Here is a 16,604-nt window from a genome sequence, read left to right on the forward strand (position 1 = left end):
TAAGTACATTCTATGATGTTCACACAAAGATGAAATCACCTAACAACACATATCTCAAAACCTGTTCCCATCAAGTGGAGCATGATTGGATACTTAAATATCCATTAACTCCATTCATTCAATTAGCTATTTGATTTCCTGCTATATATACTACTATTACTGTCCACATGCTAAAAGTATAAAGATTATAGCATCACTCTGTCCTCAAGTTGTTCAAAAATCCAGTAGAAGGGAGTTAGAACTTCAGAAGAAATTACAGTTGCTCTTAGTTAACAGCTCAGCAGTCCGAAACAGGAAAAATCTCATGAGATGAAGCTTCAGGATTAATAGGGGAAGGGAAGGGTATTAAAAGCATAGTAAAAATATATGTCAATGCAGAAAAGTAAAGAGAAGAAAAAACAGAAGACTCCCAGCCAAGGAAAAGGCAATCTGTTCAGAATTATTAAATCACGTGGCAAGAAAGTAAGACCAGTAGGGTGTTTACAACCTTTTATCTACTCTGATATCTGAGACAGTTATAGCTTTTTTTTTAGACAGGGTTTCACTCTGTCACCCAGACTGGAGTGCAGTGGCACAATCTCAGCTCACTGCAACCTCAACCTCCGCCTTCCAGATTCAAGCGATTCTCGTGCCTCAGCCTCCCGAGTAGCTGGGATTGCAGGCATGCACCACTACACCCCACTAATTTTTGTATTTTTCAGTAGAGACAGGGTTTTGCCATGTTGGCCAGGCTGGTCTCCTGATCTCAGGTGATCCACCCGCCTCGGCCTCCCAAACTGCTGGGATTACAGGTGTGAGTCACTGCGCCCAGCCAGTTATGGTTCTTAATACAAGAGAAATCATCAAATAGGAAGGTATATCAGAATTTGGGAGACAGAGCAAGATTCAGATTCCCCATCCTTAGGAAGCAAATGTTCCCTCCCATGACTGAGGATCACCATTGTACAGAGGGGGAAGGGAACCTGCAACCAGAACAAAAACATAATGAGATCTACCATTGAGAAAAACTATTTTGAGATTATATACTACACATCCCTACTTGGGAATACTATGAAGCTTTAAAAATAGAACGAGTGGATTTGTGTGAGCACATGGATCTATGTGCTCACATGGAGCTAAATTCAAAAAGAAAAAGTCAAGGTGCTGAATAATATGTATCATATGAATATTCTGGCACAGGGATTAGGGAGTCCAAATGATAAATAAGATCTAACCAGAATAAGAAGAGCTGATTCCAGAGATAACCATCTAGGAAGAATCAACAACACCTGTTAGATGTTACAGATAAAGGAGAGGAAGGCATCTAGAATGCCTTGTTTTTTAATCCTAAAAAAGGCAAAGAGATCCCTTTTCTATTCTGCTAGTTGCGTATCAACCTATTTAATTTAAAACTACTTTGAATCAATTTATTACAAATTCCAAATTAGTGGTATTTGTAGTAGTGCACTTTGACATATGAACAGCTAAAGAAATTTATTAACAGTGGATGAATTGACAGGAAAACACAGCCTTTCATTCTTCAGGAAAACATGCAAACAAATACTACCAACCAGGGACAGACAATTCAAACCTCAAACTTACATTTGCTCCAATATTACCTGAGGAATTTTTTTCTTACATACCAGTATTTTTAGTCCTTCCTAACTTAAATCCAGGATAAGCTCTTTCTGCCATCAATTTAGAACTCTTCATTTCCAGTACTCTCATTCTCAGTCATTAAACCTTTCAATATATAAATTATACAATTATACTTTAATACTTGAAAAAAACCTAGTTACACATGGCAAGACAAACCACTGAGAATTTGGGCCCACAGAATTATACTGCCTTCCTTTGGCGGAGGGACAAATAGTGATGATATATGACAGTTTCCTGAGAAAATGTCACTAACATTTATTTAATAATGCAATCTCCTTACACTTTACCTGTGTCAGGCAATATTTACAATTTTTCCAATCTCCACATAACAAAGAAAGCCCAAGCAACTACAAAATACCTAACTAGTATTTCTTTCCCCAACATGATTTTCATTTCTGTGTTCTGTAAATAAGAAAATAATTAATTAAAAGCCATAGTACTAATAAAAATGCAAAAAGAGAAAGAAACTAAAATCTTGATCAAGGAGTGGATTAGAACTTTTATAATGCTTATAGAAGAGACTCCACTGGTTGCAAATCCAACATCCATTTTTACCTTTCCCCTCCCATAACTCAGGAGAAGCTGACCTACCCAGTCTCCCTCAAGTACCTGAGCTAGATCCTGAACCAAATGCTATAATACCATCCTTCCTGCAAGTAAGTGCTTCAGAAACTCAGACTTAATTAAACCAAACAGCACATGGTGATTGTTACTGGTCCAGAGATAACATATGATCTAAATGGGGCCAATAAAACTGAAGGAAACAACTTTTAGTCTCCAATAATGAGAAAAATTCTTGTTTCCCTACTGGAACTGAAGAATGTTTGTTGTTCTAGCTATGGACAGTAGCTATCCTATAAACATGAAGGAAACCAGCCTGAAGATAAATTTAAAAAGACAGGTAAGTCAGGCTGATAACCTTGCTCATATAGTGCTTGGAGATAAAGCCCTAGAAGCTCCCCTACCTATAGTTTCCATTGTAGGGAAAAAATAAACTTCATTCTGGAATAAGGCAGACTATTTGGGAGTTTCTGTTATTAAAAGGCAGAACCACCATAATTTTTAGTATTTTTAAATAGTCTCTCAAAAATAAGTACCTATATGAAAGCTATTTGAAACCTGGAAATAGCTTTAATAAACAACATTTTATAAACAAATTACAATCTTTAGAAGGCTAACGTAAGCTTTCTTAATCCACTAAAAGCTCAGTCACAAAAATCTACATGACCACTTAATAGACAAATAAATAACATGTATAAGCTAGTTTAATCTGATTGCATAAAAATATTTATAATACATTTCTGAATAAAGAAAAATTCAATTATAACCCAAGGGTGGGTTAATTTGTACAAATTTTGAATAATGTTGCATACATTTCCCAAACAGATGCTAAGAGACTCTACAAGGACACTCCGCTCAATCAGAAGCCAGATTAAAGTCCCATCTGGAGTCTAATGGCTCCATGGTTCCATTACAATTACCTAAGTCACCAAAAGTGAGACTTAATGGTTATACATCACAGAATCTTCGAAGTATATACAGTCTTATCCCCAAAACCAGAAAATCAAGTCAAAAAATAATTTTGTGTGTGTACACACAGACACAAGAGATTTGGTAGACATCCAAATGCTTCTGTATTGGTAGATATCCAAATGCTGCTGTATTTGTTCACGGACATTGAACTTTTTCTATATGATTTTTCCCTAGTTATTCATTAGCATCTTTTTTTTTTTTTTTTTGATGGAGTCTTGCTCTCTCACTAGACCGGAGTGCAGTGGTACGATCTCAGCTCACTGCAACCTCCGCTTCCCAGGTTCAAGCGATTCCCCTGCCTCAGCCTCCTGAGTAGCAGGGACTACAGGCGCCTGCCACCTCGTTGGCTAATTTTTTATATTTTAGTACAGATGGGGTTTCACCATGTTGGCCAGGATGGTCTCGATCTCCTGACCTTGTAATCTGCCCACCTCAGCCTCCCAAAGTGCCGGGATCACAGGCATGAGCCATCGCACCTGGCCAGCATCTTCTTAAAAGTGTTTTTGGACACAGTTGCTAGGATAGTGCATCACCTTCATTTGAAATGGAAAGGACAAAGTTCACCTATCTCCCTCAACTCCCCCTTTTTTTTTAAGACAGGGTCTTACTCTGTCGCCCAGGCTGCTGTGCAGTGGCACAATCATAGCTCACTGCATCCTCAAACTCCCGGGTTCAAGTAATCCTCCCATCTCAGCCTCCCAAGTAGCTAGGACTACAGCTATGCACCACATGTCCAGCTAATTTTTAAATTTTTTGTAGAGACAGGGTCTCGCTACGTTGCCCAGGTTGGTGGTCTCTAACTCCTGGCCCCAAGCAATCCTCTCACCTTGGCATCCCAAAGCACTGGGATTACAGGCATGAACCACCACACCCAGCCCACTTTCTCCTTTAACACCAGCCTTGAGAGTAACTCAGATACCTGGAATTATCTCTTTCATATTTATCTTCTCAGATCCTATCACAGACATTATTTCTCATTAAATCAGGAAAACTGAGTTAAGCCATTTTATCTCCTAATTTTCATGGCTAGAAGTTGTCACAGTGCCAAAGAAGTTTAGAGGAGGAGGTTACCTGGAAAGCCTTTGAATATCAGCAACCAGACCAATGCTATTAAAAGTATAGTCTGATTTCACTGCCTGACCATGAACTGTTTAAAATATTTTACAGCAATTTGACAGAGTAATGAGCCAATATTTTATGTATTTGATTTTTTTCTCTAGAGTAGGATAGGGTCCCGAATGTGAAGGCTGAATTCCACTTGAAAATGTCTGCTGACCTAAGAAAGTGCTTTGCTTTACTCTTTTAATTTGAATGCCTTTAGATAGAACCCAAGCCCTCTGATTAGCTAAAGTGCTAAGTTATTTGCAACTGTTATCTGGTCAGTCCCAGAAGGCATCTGAGTGTCCAATTAAAGATCCACTGGACAAGTGTTTCTCAAATTGTAACACCCCTTAATAGGTAAGGAAAGCAATTTAGTGAGTTTTTTTTTAAATAATATCTGGCACTGCATGGCATGATATGTATGGCATGACACACAAAAAGTAGAAACACAGTATGTGTATATACACACATACATATACTTGTATGTGTTTATGTACATGAGTGTCCGTGGTTGTGATTTAAATTTTCTTACTGGGGTTCATGGGCAAAAAAATGGAATGAACAGCACTGTACCAGACCAGTATCTTCATTTCACAGATGCAGAAGCTGAGACTCAAGGTCGCAGTCAGCTGCAAGCAGTTCCAGTGTGCTTTCCTTTACATTCATGATTGTAATTTTGTATGTACAATGAGGTCTGCAAAGCCAATACATAGAAAATACAGAATATAAGCCCCAAAACTGATAATTTTAAAATCCTAGATCAATTAAAACTTTATTAGGTATTTTTTAAGTTTTAAATACTAAAGATGAAAATTTTTATGTAGAACAATATATATTTGATTACATAAAAATTTATATGACCCAAAAATAAAACAAATCCAAACAAATAAAACCAAATTCCTCAACTCACTAGTTTAAAAAAAAATCAAACACAGAAAAAAAATACTGACGACATACTACAAAAGACTGATCTTAATATATAATATAGTAATTAAATATGAGAAAACTACCTGAGTAACAGGTAAATGGTATTAAGAAGTGAATTATAAAATAAATATAAATGGTCAATAGCATTAAAAACGGGTACATTACAACAAGAAACTACTTTTCTCTTATAAAATTAGCAGAGATGTTTTCTTTTTAAGTATTAATACGAGTATTGATGTAAAAAATCCAGGAATCAAAATTGCTGGTGGAAATGAAACTTGTAAAGTTTGGCAGTAAGTATCAAGAGACTTGTAATTACCCTTCTAACCAGTAAGTCCATTTCTGGAATTTAGCCTATGGAAATAATGAGGGATATACACAAACATTATTAAAAAGTAGTTTGACTGTAGTAGTATATGTAACAGTGGAAAATTCTAATAACCCAAATAGTCATCTATGGGAACTGGTTAAAAAATATATAGTACATCTATATAATAACAGAATGTTATGCAACTATTAAAAGAGATGATATAGGCTTATATTTTCTGCTCACAATATACTATTAAATGAAAAAGTAATAGATGCAAAAAAAATCCCATTTTTCATATAAAAAACTTATAAAACACAAGTAATCCATTCTTACAACAACCCAACATCTTTCGAATAAATGGAAAAATGCATTTTTACACTGAACTTTCTAACAATCATTTTCTGTTTTCTGTTTGTTTGTTTGTTTGTTTTCCTGAGATGGAGTCTCACTCTGTGGCCCAGGCTGGAGTGCCGTGGCATGATCTCAGCTTGCTGCAACCACCACCTCCCGGGTTCAAGCAATTCTCCTGCCTCAGCCTCCTCAGTAGCTGGGATTACAGGCACACACCACCAGGCCCAGCTAATCTTTTTGTATTTTTAATAGAGACGGGGTTTCATCATATTGGCCAGGATGGTCTCAATCTCATGACCTCGTAATCCACCCACCTCAGCCTCCCAAAGTGCTGGGATTACAGGTGTGAGCCACCGTGCCTGGCCAGAAAATGATTTTTAGAGATACCTAATATAATGTATTAAAAAATGCAAACATTCTTAAAACAGATCTCGATACCAAAGGCCATTTTTCAACAGTAACACTGAATATTCAATTGCATGGATAAAGTTAAATTTTACAAAAGAATTACAGATGCTGATGGTATGGATACAAATTCTTTTCACTTCTTTTGCATTCTGATGGGGAGGGAGAGAGGGACAGACAAAAAGAGAGGCAGAGCGAGACGAAGAGGACAATTTGCATTTCAGCTTTCTTCTCATCCCAAAAATGATTTAGTATAAGACACCACTCAAAACAAAGCAAACACATTATAGGACAAAAGAAAACAATTCAAGAAACAAGGCTAGAAGAACAGAACACTACCACTGTACCAGTTAAGGCTCCTGAATATAAACAACAGACATATATTCTAGTGAATCTAAGTCAAAAAGGAATTTATTGGCTAGGTACTAGATAGTTCACAACACTAAGACAAGGTTGGAAAATCCAGCTTGGACAGGAATCAAGGAAGGCAAATCACAGAAGAATGTTTGCCTCCACAGCCTTGAATGAAGACTGGAACTTATGTTACTGAATCAAAGGTTACAGGCTCTTTTAGAATTTGTCTACCAGGCTTTCTGGTTTTTACCGGAAAGCCCCGCTATTTAAAAAAAAAAAAAAAAAAAAGGAAGAAGAAAGGAAAAAAAAACGGTTAAGGCCAGGAGGAAGCATCTCAGTGGCAGGTCTTAGCCTCATGCCCATGGTCTTTCTAGCTGTCAAGGTGCAACTCTTAAACTACAGAAGGGCCTTGTGCTAGCCTTTAGGCTTCCTTAATCTTGAGAGGTGAGAAGCAGCCTCCTACTTAACCTAGAAAGGGGCCTAGTAAGGCCCCAGGCAATGAAAACCACATGTCCTCTTGGAAGACCAACTCTTTGTAGTAGAACTGAAGTGTCTTTACTTTGACTCAGTGTCTCGCTCATATCTTTATAAAAGTTTGCAAACTGAAAGTTGATAAAAATTACTGCAAATCTCTTTAACATCATTTTATTAGATTTGTTTGGTACCACTTCCAGTGTATTTCCAAGGCAAAAACGTACTCTTCCTAAAGTAATTCTATCAACCAACAGTAGACTGAGTAATTTGGATGGGGTCTAGCAAGTTTCTTAATACACTATAAGTATTGCCTCTTGCTTTATATTCTATCCGTCTGCTAATTTGGTTTCTTGCTTGCCTTTTTTGCTGCAGCTGTGCACCGGGTTAACTGTTTCAATGGTTTTCCTACAATAACTCACAAATTTTTTCCTGATCAGTGTGCTGTATGATTGGTTCTTTGTTCCTAAGATAATTATTTTACATTTGTCTACACTGAACTGCATTTGCCATCTGCTGGCCCAATCACCTAAACAATCCAAATCTTTTTGAATCTGATTGCATTGTTCCTCATTATTTCCCCTAGCTCCAATTTTAGGATCATCTGCAAACTCTTGAGATCTTTTCTTTAAAGCTTGGACACATTTTATTTTAATATAGAGGGTCTTTTGTGTGTGTGACCCTTTAGACACTCCAGCTGAAATCCTTTTCCAACTAGAAAAGTTTCCAAAAAGCTTATCCAAAGGTACCTTCCAATTATGCAGTCAAAGTGCTGCTAGAAACAAAGCTAAATAGAACACATTCTATTTCATCTTTCTATACATTGCCATGTTTTTAAAAGTATTATGTCTTCTAAGTTCATCTCTTCAAAGTATAAATATTTTTAGGGAAGGCAATAATTCTATTTTCTAATTTGAAAATTCATGGCAATTGTTTTTGCAGTAACTTTCCTAAACTACACATGACAAATTTTTCAGCAACTCCCTATACATAAAGTATTTCCTTTACTCATAAAAATACGTATTGAGCACACATTAGTAATTAGCATTAGATACACTGCAGTCTTATGACCTTGGTCCAATTATTTATCTCCCAAAACTTCTGTTTCCTACTGACAAAGAAGATTTTAGAAGATAACTTCTAAGCACCCATCCACCTCTAGCATTCTGAATTACCTTTTATCTATAAAGTAACATACTAGAATCACCATTTCTAAAATTTTTCTCCTTCAGATTTCCCAAGCATCATTTAATTATAAGCACTCAAATAATTCATTAATTTTTGCAACATTTTAGAACTGCAATATTGTATATTGATACTTATTTAGCAGTATTTACCCTTCAAGTTAGACTTGAAAAGTCTGAACATAGTAAATCTCCATTACTTATTAAGTAGGACACCGAGTACATGTTTAGATTTGGAAGAATTGTTGCTCCATAAACTTCAGTGATTTCTTAGTAAAATCAATTTTCACAAAAGCCCTACCTGTGTAACGATCTTATATAGGAGTTAAGATCTAATTTAAGAACCAACGGTTCTCTCAAAAGAAAGAAGTGCTGATTCTGGGTGGAATGACTTTCATTATAAGGTAGGATATTAAAATCCACCAAGAAAAATTATTTTTAATAATTCCAAAATAGTAACATTATAACAATTACTAGTATTAGATCTTTCGTGTTTTTGTGGAAGAACCCTCTAACAACTGATTAGTCTGAATTTTTTTTCATTTATTCACTCAACAGTTAGTGAATGTTAGAAAAATATAAAAATGAATACAAGACAGTGTGAGATGTACATATGTTGCTACAAAAAATCATTGTAGAAGTACAGTCAGCTACACAGAAGTTAGGAAGAGGAAGAATTTACTTCTAGCTGCTGGATGAAAAGCTTTGTAAATGAGATGCATTTGAACTCTCAAATATTATGATGTGTTTTAAAAACAAGCCTACTAAGCTATGAATATTACCACAAAAAGACAAATATAAAGCACTAAGCAGCAAAATACTTCGAGCAACTGAACTAACCAAATGAAATGCTATAGGTCAAAAGCCTCCAACTTATAAAAATGAAGTCAGTAACAAGTATTTAATTTCTAAAGAGCTAAAGGACTCACTTAAAAAAACATAATTTATTAAGCCCTTTATTTTAGAAAGAACCACTGATTTTCAACGCAATTACTTTTGTTATAAGGTAGGATTGAAGAATCCACTAAGAAAAAATTTTTTTTCTTTTTCTTTTTTCTTTTTTTAATGAGACGGGAGTCCAGACTGGAGAGCAGTGGCACAATCATGGCTGCAGCCTTGACCTCCCAGGCTCAAGTGATCCTCCAACCTCAGTCTTCCAAGTAGCTGGGACTACAAGCATGCACCACCGCACCTGGCTAATTTTTGTATTTTTTGTAGTGATGGAGTTTCGCCATGTTGCCCAGGCTGGTCTCAAACTCGTGGGCTCAAGCTATCTACCCGCCTCAACCTCCCATAGTGCTGGGATTACAAGCATGAGCCACGGTGCCCAGCCAGGAAAATTATTTTTAATAATTCCAAAATAGTAAGTTTATAACAAGTATTAAGTTTTTGTCTTTCAAAAGACAAAACCTTTTTGTGGAAGAACCCTCTAACAACTGATTAGTCTGATTTTTTTTTCAAACACTTATGAAATGATACATGTTGTCTCCAGGAATATTTAATTTGTATTTTAAGATTAACGCATTTAATAAAACCATAAACAACCACTGACTTTTATTTCAAACAGGTCCCCATTTACTAAAACCTTGACCTTTGACTGTGTTATATTCTATTAAAAGTAACAACATTCTACATATGATTTAATTCTCCCTGTAATCTAATAAAGGCATTCCACTAAATATATATATATTTTTAATTTCACTTAAAAATATATATAAAGGCATTTCACTTAAAAATATATATATATATTTAAGATATATATATATATCTTAAATCTCCCACATATTCAGAGCATAGGGAAAGAAATGTGTATGAGCTGAGAAAGGAGGAAATAAAAGCACTAGAGGAATGGGGGGGTGGCTACAGGGAGGGAAGAAAAGTGTTTCAATAAACATTTCCATAACTTAATACCCGCTTAGATTTTCAAAATTCTAGTTTGATTTTTTTACTGTTTGATTTTATACTCTGTGCTATAGCTTATATTTGAATTACTAGTATCCCATAACCTGAAATTAAACTCAACTAAATCTCTTGAGGTGTATAACAAGCTATACAGAATTACTAAAGTAATAAACAATTATGTTTCATTTAGTCTGTTAACTACCCTAAAGGATGGAATTTTACTAATATAATCTATTAATATTGTTTCATAGACTATCACTAGTTTTCAATTTGATAAAGCTAGAAGGGAGGCAATATGCAGGGGTTTCAAACTGGCATCCATAGGCCACTTCCAGTGAGCAAACAATTCATTCTGCGTAAACTGCCAAGATTTTTTAAACTGGACATTTCACATAAAAATTTAGATTTTTAACTTACCTCAAAAAAAAAATCACTAGATTCATAGTTCTGGTCCCACTGCTGTCAATGCTCCCCAGCTGCCCACTAGACAACTTTCCTCCCCACTTTCTGTGGCTTACGAAGTTCCACAGGAAGTAGGGTTTGTAATCCCTAAATAGAGTGTGGAGGCAGTCAGATCCTGACTCGAATCCCAGCTCCCCCATCTCCAAGTTGCACAACCCAGGGCAAGTAGTTTACCCTCTTTAAGTTTCAATTTCACCATCATGACTGATACTGTTTGGTTCTGTGTCCCCACCCAAATCTCACCTTGAATTGTAGTTCCCATAATCCCCATGTGTCATGGGAGGGACCCAGTGGGAGGTAATTTAATCATGGGGGTGGTTACCCTCATACTGTTCTCATGATAGTGAGTGAGTTCTCATCAGGTCTGATTATTTTTAAAAGGTAGTTTCCCCCTTTTGCTCAGCACTTCTCCTTCCCGCCACCATGTGAAGAAGGACGAGTTTGCTTCCCCTTCCACCATGATTGTAAGTTTCCTGAGGCCTTCCCAGCCCTGTGGAACTAGGAGTAAATTAAACCTCTTTCCCTTATAAATTACCCAGTCTCAGGCAGTTCTTTATAGCAGCATGAGAATGGACTAATACAACGACAAAGAAGATAATAATCATTTATAATTCAGGGGTTAAAAGTGAAATAATATATATAGTACAAAATACAAAATTAAATCTTCAATAAATGATAGTTATTATTATACTACTTGGATTAAAATTCCTAAACCTAATTAACTAAGATTTACCATGAATGTTTCCCACCTTCTGTAGACCCTAAAGAAAAAAACTAAATCACTATTGCCTTATCACTCCATAGGGCTCCTTGGTAAAATAAGGATAGGAATAATAAATATCTTATAGGGCTGTCATATTAAAATACGTTAATACATATAAAAATGCTAAAAATGGTACATGGCACATACTAACCTCTAAAAAGAGTTGTTATTACAGTAGTAATTGTTGTTTCAGGGGGCTGGCACATATAACCTTTAATAAATGTTTGATGAGGAGAAGCAAGTCAGTGAGTAAAAATGCAACTCAATGAATACAAGACCACGTATCAAGATTATTCAAGGTATATATCTTTAACCGTCCTCTCGACTGTCCCATGTTTTTTGTTTGTTTGTTTGTTTGAGATGGAGTTTCCCTCTTGTTGCCCAGGCTGGAGTGCAATGGCGCGATCTCGGCTCACTGCAACCTCCGCCTCCCGGGTTCAAGAGATTCTCCTGCCTCAGCCTCCCAAATAGCTGGGATTACAGGCGCACGCCGCCATGCCCAGCTATTTTTTTTGTATTTTTAGTAGAGATGGGTTTTCACTATGTTGGCCAGGCTGGTCTTGAACTCCTAACCTCAGGTGATCTGCTCACCTCGGCCTCCCAAAGTGCTGGGATTACAGGAGTGAGCCACCACGCCCGGCCAGACTGTCTTATGTTTTTACGTTAAAGCTGAAAAACTCAGTGAATACCAAATCACTCTGAACATGTAAAAACAAACCTAATGTTCTGGGCTCGAACACAAATTATTATTAAACTCTTGACAGAAACCAAAGAGCTGATTCCAAACATAAAGCATGCACATTATATGGTGTCCGTAATTTATTTTCCAACAAGTTTTAGAGTAGTCCTGTTTCAAGATTGCTAGAACCAGACCAGTCTAGGCTGTGCTTTCTTTCCAATTCTTCTCTGCCTCTTCAAGAACCTCAGCAGCAGACTTCAGGAACAGTGGAAAGGGGGATCTCACTACCTTTTAGGATAGTAGTTATAAAATCTCAGCCTTTAAAAACAAAGAATGAAGAAAAAAGTCTGGTCAAGCAGCAACAGTGGTTCTCTATCAATTGGTACCAAAATGATGATTTGATCTTTAGCATACTAATCATCTCAGTTGATGTAGTTTTTAATTAGTCTGGGAATAATAAAGAAGCTCAATTCTTCAAGTATTTAACAAAGGATAAAGACAGTCTTTCCTGGCTAAAGTAGTAGGCATATTCCAGATTCCTGGCCATGTCAGGGAAATCCTTTCATAGCATTCAAAACAATGAGGAAAAGCAACAGAATTGACTCAAAAAGAGTAATTTCCTTTCCAACCTAAATAAACTTTACACAAACTTGCCTTTGATAATCGACTAAACAAGCTGCACCACTAGCATCAAGGGAGGGTGTGCAGATATCTAGCAGGTGCTGCAGTTTATCACAAAACCGTCTAAAATAATTGGAAGTGACAACCAGCACTACCACAAATGATTTATTAGTCTTTCACTCAGCTTTTCAGCTTCCTTAGGGCCAGAATAAATAATTTACCAACTCCGTATCTTCCAATCATTAATTCTTCCCAATGCATCCAAACTACATTTAACTCTGCTAGGTTCAGTCAAATAAAACACACAATAAGAATATTTTTCCAAATATAAAATTATCTGACCACATGTAAAGGCAAACATGTCAATCAAAGATGTACAATACAGATGCAGAAGGACTCAAAGTCAGCAACTGCAGTCAAGTTTGAGGGTGCTCGTGGAATAAATTAAGTGAACAAGAAAGCAGAGCCTAGCAAAGTGCTTCTCTCGTAGATGAAAAAAGACTCCAGTGACTCTGGACAGCAAACCAAAAAGGCAACCTAAGCACACTGAGTGACAGAGATTTTAAACCTCAAGCATCATCATCTCACAATAGTGAATTCACTGATTGACGGCCTCCCCCAAAGTGTCCCACAAATTGTAGAAAATATTCAATATCCTTAATCAAAAAAAGGTGGAAAAGTTAAGACCTATATGAATTTCAAGCAAAGTAGACTTAATAAAGTACAAAACAAGGCATCTTCTTTAAGGCATTTTAATAGCTATTTTGAATGGGTTTACAGGACAATTACAAACTCCTGTGAATTCAAAAATAGATGTGAAAATCAAAGAAATAAACATTCTCCCCCAAATGTGATAATGATGTTAAAAGGTATGTCTATTAATTATATAGAAAAAACATACAAAAAGCAAAAATTACATCCTAAATCTATTTTTGATGTTAAGCTAGTCTTGTCTCATTAAATCAGCATCTATGATTAAAACAGAGATCATTTTTGGTACATAACGTATTGCACTATGAGAGCAGCATCTGTTTATTACACAGCATAAACATTTTTCAGCTTTCTGAAACTACTGACATTCAATAAATGATCCAGACCTAGCAATTCACTTAAGCTTCTTTTTTATTTCAAGAAGAAATACTTTAAGTGAAAGAGTTAATAAAACTGATAGTCTAACATTCGGCATTCTATAAGCCAGCTTCAAGCTGTTGGGCATACAAAGAATTTCATAAATTGACAGCTTTCTCTTTAATGGTTTGAGAGTGCACCACAACCCAAATCTTAAGTGTGTAATAGATGTTTAAATATACTTTTAAACATATGACTTCTACCAAATACATGATTTTTTGCAAAATATAAAACACCTTAAAATTAAATTAGCTGAACTGAAAATGATAATATAAATTTGAACCTAAAGAATGCAACTTACATTATACAATTTTTTAAAATGTCTAAAAACATTCCAAAATGTTTACAAAATAAGAATGTATTTTTTTCAATACTCAAGAGTTCACTGTTAACTGAAAGAATTATATACCTGGGCACAAAATCATATTGTTCATATTAAGCAAAACCATGTCTTATTTATGCACAGATCCAGCACACACGTTGCTGTGGCAAAATAAACTCCAAATAGCACAGGTCCTAGCCTCCCACAGGTTACAATAAAGCAAAAATATAAAAACTAGAAAACACCTACTTTTTAAAGGCATCTTTTTCAAACAGATGCAAAACATACAAAGATTTTTATGTTTTTTTGTACTAGGAGGTTGGGAGGAGTCAGAGGACATCTGTTGAAAAGAAAAGCATGACAGTGTTGTCTGCAGGCTTCTTTGCCAGGAATGGAAACAGTGGATCGGCCTGTAAAGACAGGAAATTCAATAAGAAAAAAGAAAGCAAAATACTGCTCTAGTGGCATCAAATTGCCTAAGGATGCTGCCTAGTGCCAGAACCTGGATACAATGCTATAAGAATTGATGGCAGCTTGTCCGTGTGCTGAAAACACCGAGCCCTACAGAGCTCCATGAATATCTGTGGAAGAAGTCTATGCAAAGTATCCTGACCCTTAATGTCTGTCAAAAGAGAAACAGGTATACAAATTGTGGTTTTGATGTTGTTCTATCATGAAATATTACACAACAGTTAAAATGAATCAACCAGGTGTAAAAAATCACAGCAAGTAACCGTTGAGGAATAACGATGGCTAAGAAGGAAAAAAATTGCAAATAATAGAATAACAACAAATAATGGAATATTTCAGTTAGGTAACCTTTAAGAACATTTAATGTTAATGGACACATAAATGTAGTAATAATACAAAAACAGGAAAGATATAAACCAATTTCGGTATGGCAGTTATCTCTGGGAAGGGAAAGACTTTAAAAATACATGTGGTGGCATACTAATTCCGCATGGTAAATACACGTTTGCCTGTTCTACTTATTTTCTGTACTTTCTTTTCTTTTCTTTTTTTTTTTTTTTTTGAGACAGGGTCTCACCTGTCACTCAGGCTGGAGTACGGTGGCATGATCTCGGCTCACTGCAGCCTCTACCTAACCAGGCTCAGTTGATCCTCCCACCTCAGCCTCCCGAGTACCTGAGACTACAGGCATGTGCCACCATGCCCAGATAATGTTTGTATTTTTTTTTTTGCAGAGTGAGGGTTTCGCCGTATTGCCCAGCCTGGTCTCGATCGCATGGCTCAAGCAATCTGCCTGCCTCAGCCTCCCAAAGTGCTTGGATTACAAGCATGAGTTACTGCACCCAGCCTATACTTTCTAAAATTTTTAAAATCTAAGCCACAAAATGAACAATTTTCTTCTTAAAAAATTTAAAAGGTTTTACAATATTCTTACCTGAAACGTGAAGGTCTATCTTCTTTAAAATCACTGGTTTGGCCAGTCTTCATATTCTAAAAACTTTTAATTTAAATCTAAGACACTAAAAATTCTACCCTCTTTTCACAAGTTACTTGATTTAGTAACAATTTCAAGTCAAGTTCTCAGGAGATCTCATGCTTTTATTTCAAAAATGAACTGAAGGACTCCACCATGCAGATCTCCTGAATGAAGTTAAAGATACTCTCATCAAGGGGCTTTTAAATAAATAGTTCTCTCATTTGCTATGAGAACAAACAGGCTTGAGAGCCTGACTCCCAATTCCTTGACTCTGACTTCCCTGGGGGAACCTGTCACTTCATTAGTGAGTTAAGTTCTTTTCCATTTTCTTTGTTATGTGAGGTGTTAAACTTCTACATATTTGAAAAAAAAAAATCCTAGTAAGACTTTGGACATATCAATTGAAACCGTAAAGAAATTCAGTACCACAAGTACAAGTTTTTCCATCTTGTGTTAACCTTTCCTGCAGCCAAATTTCTTTTAAGTCCAACTCCATTTCTTTATATGCCTTTGAAAATTTGACAGGTCATCTATTGCGAAATAGAAACAAGATGCCTCTCATTTACAATTAAATTTGTACATGAAAACAAAAGTTTAATATACTTTTTGTCACCATGAAGAAAATATGAGAGATATTAATTTCCATAAAAACTGATAAATATTCTCTCAAAGTAGCAACCATCTGATTTCAAAAAAATTACTACCTTGTTATCTTAAATGAGAAATGATATCCAACTTATATTGATGTTTTTCTATCTGAAGTATGTCATGCAATATTGTAATTTATCTCATAAATCTACTAGAGTGTGATCAAATCCTATCAACTCTGATTGGCATAAATTTGAAACTATGAAGCAATCACATCTGTTAAGCAGTTTTAGGTTCCTAGACAACATTTTTAAAGTTCATACAATAACATAATTATACTTTTTTTTCTAGGACCTTCCTGCACTGGGTTTGAGCTTTTCATAAACTTTGTTTGTGTATACAAGATTCAATATAACAT

At 35.8% G+C, this 16,604-nt stretch overlaps 1 protein-coding gene and 1 pseudogene across 65 annotated transcripts in view; one reads left to right on the forward strand and one right to left on the reverse strand.

Annotated features, from left to right (window-relative positions):
- The window catches only part of TBC1D5 (TBC1 domain family member 5), a 585,470-nt gene that overhangs the window by 500,983 nt on the left and 67,883 nt on the right, over positions 1-16,604 (reverse strand). For 13 of the 65 annotated variants that reach the window (XM_047449304.1, XM_047449284.1, XM_047449315.1 and 10 more), the window contains exon 2: positions 4,846-4,966. The exons of 49 other annotated variants lie outside the window; for them this stretch is intronic. The gene's annotated coding sequence lies outside the window, so the exon portion shown is untranslated. Of the gene's footprint in view, positions 1-4,845; positions 4,967-14,400; positions 14,562-16,604 lie in introns of all 65 variants that reach the window. 3 more of the 65 variants (XM_047449305.1, XM_047449313.1, XM_047449300.1) reach the window with 1 other exon arrangement.
- Positions 6,823-6,880, forward strand: RNU7-10P (RNA, U7 small nuclear 10 pseudogene; annotated as a pseudogene).

This window comes from Homo sapiens, chromosome 3, assembly GCF_000001405.40.
Source record: "Homo sapiens chromosome 3, GRCh38.p14 Primary Assembly".
In the NCBI taxonomy this organism is placed as follows: domain Eukaryota; kingdom Metazoa; phylum Chordata; class Mammalia; order Primates; family Hominidae; genus Homo; species Homo sapiens.